The 814-nt window shown below is 54.1% G+C and overlaps 1 pseudogene; it reads left to right on the plus strand.

The window, feature by feature from the left end:
* LOC100287614 (ribosomal protein S10 pseudogene) lies at window positions 1–814 on the plus strand (annotated as a pseudogene).

Consider the following 814-nt stretch of genomic DNA (forward strand, 5'->3'; position numbering starts at 1 on the left):
TATGAACTCCTTTTTAAGGAGGGAGTCATGGTGGCCAAGAAGGATGCCCACCTGCCTAAGCACCCAGAGCTGGCAGACAGGAATGTGCCCAACCTACACGTCATAAAGGCCAAACAGTCTCTCAGATCATGAGGTCATGTGAAGGAACAATTTGCCTGGAGACATTTTTTTTTTTTTTGAGATGGAGTCTCGCTCTGTCGCCCAGGCTGGAGTGCAGTGGCGCAATCTCGGCTCACTGCAACCTCCGCCTTCCGGGTCCAAGTGATTCTTCTGCCTCAGCCTCCTGAGTAGCTGGGATTACAGGCACCCACCACCATGCCTGGCTAATTTTTGTATGTTTAGTAGAGGAGGGGTTTCACCATGTTGGTCAGGCTGGTCTCGAACTCCTGACCTTGTGATCCGCCCGCCTCAGCCTCCCAAAGTGCTAGAATTACAGGCGTGAGCCACCATGCCTGGCCAACTGGAGACGTTTCTACTGGTACCTTACCAATGAGGGTATCTAGTGTCTCCATGATGACCTCCAGCTGCCCTCAGAGAGTGTGCCTGCCACTCTATGCCGCAGCCGTCCAGAGACTGGTAGACCTTGGCCTAAACGTCTGGAGGGTGAGTGCCCTCCAAGACTCCCAAGAGGGGAAGCTGACAGAGACCCACAGGTGGGGCGCTGTGCCCCCTGGTGCTGGCCAGGAAGCCAAGGCTGGGGCTGGGCCAGCAACCGAATTCCAGTTTAGAGGTGGATTTGGTGGTGGACATGGTCAGCCACCTCGGTAAAATTGGAGAGGATTAGTTTGCACTGAATAAACTTACAGCCAGAAAA

This window comes from Homo sapiens, chromosome 19, assembly GCF_000001405.40.
Source record: "Homo sapiens chromosome 19, GRCh38.p14 Primary Assembly".
In the NCBI taxonomy this organism is placed as follows: domain Eukaryota; kingdom Metazoa; phylum Chordata; class Mammalia; order Primates; family Hominidae; genus Homo; species Homo sapiens.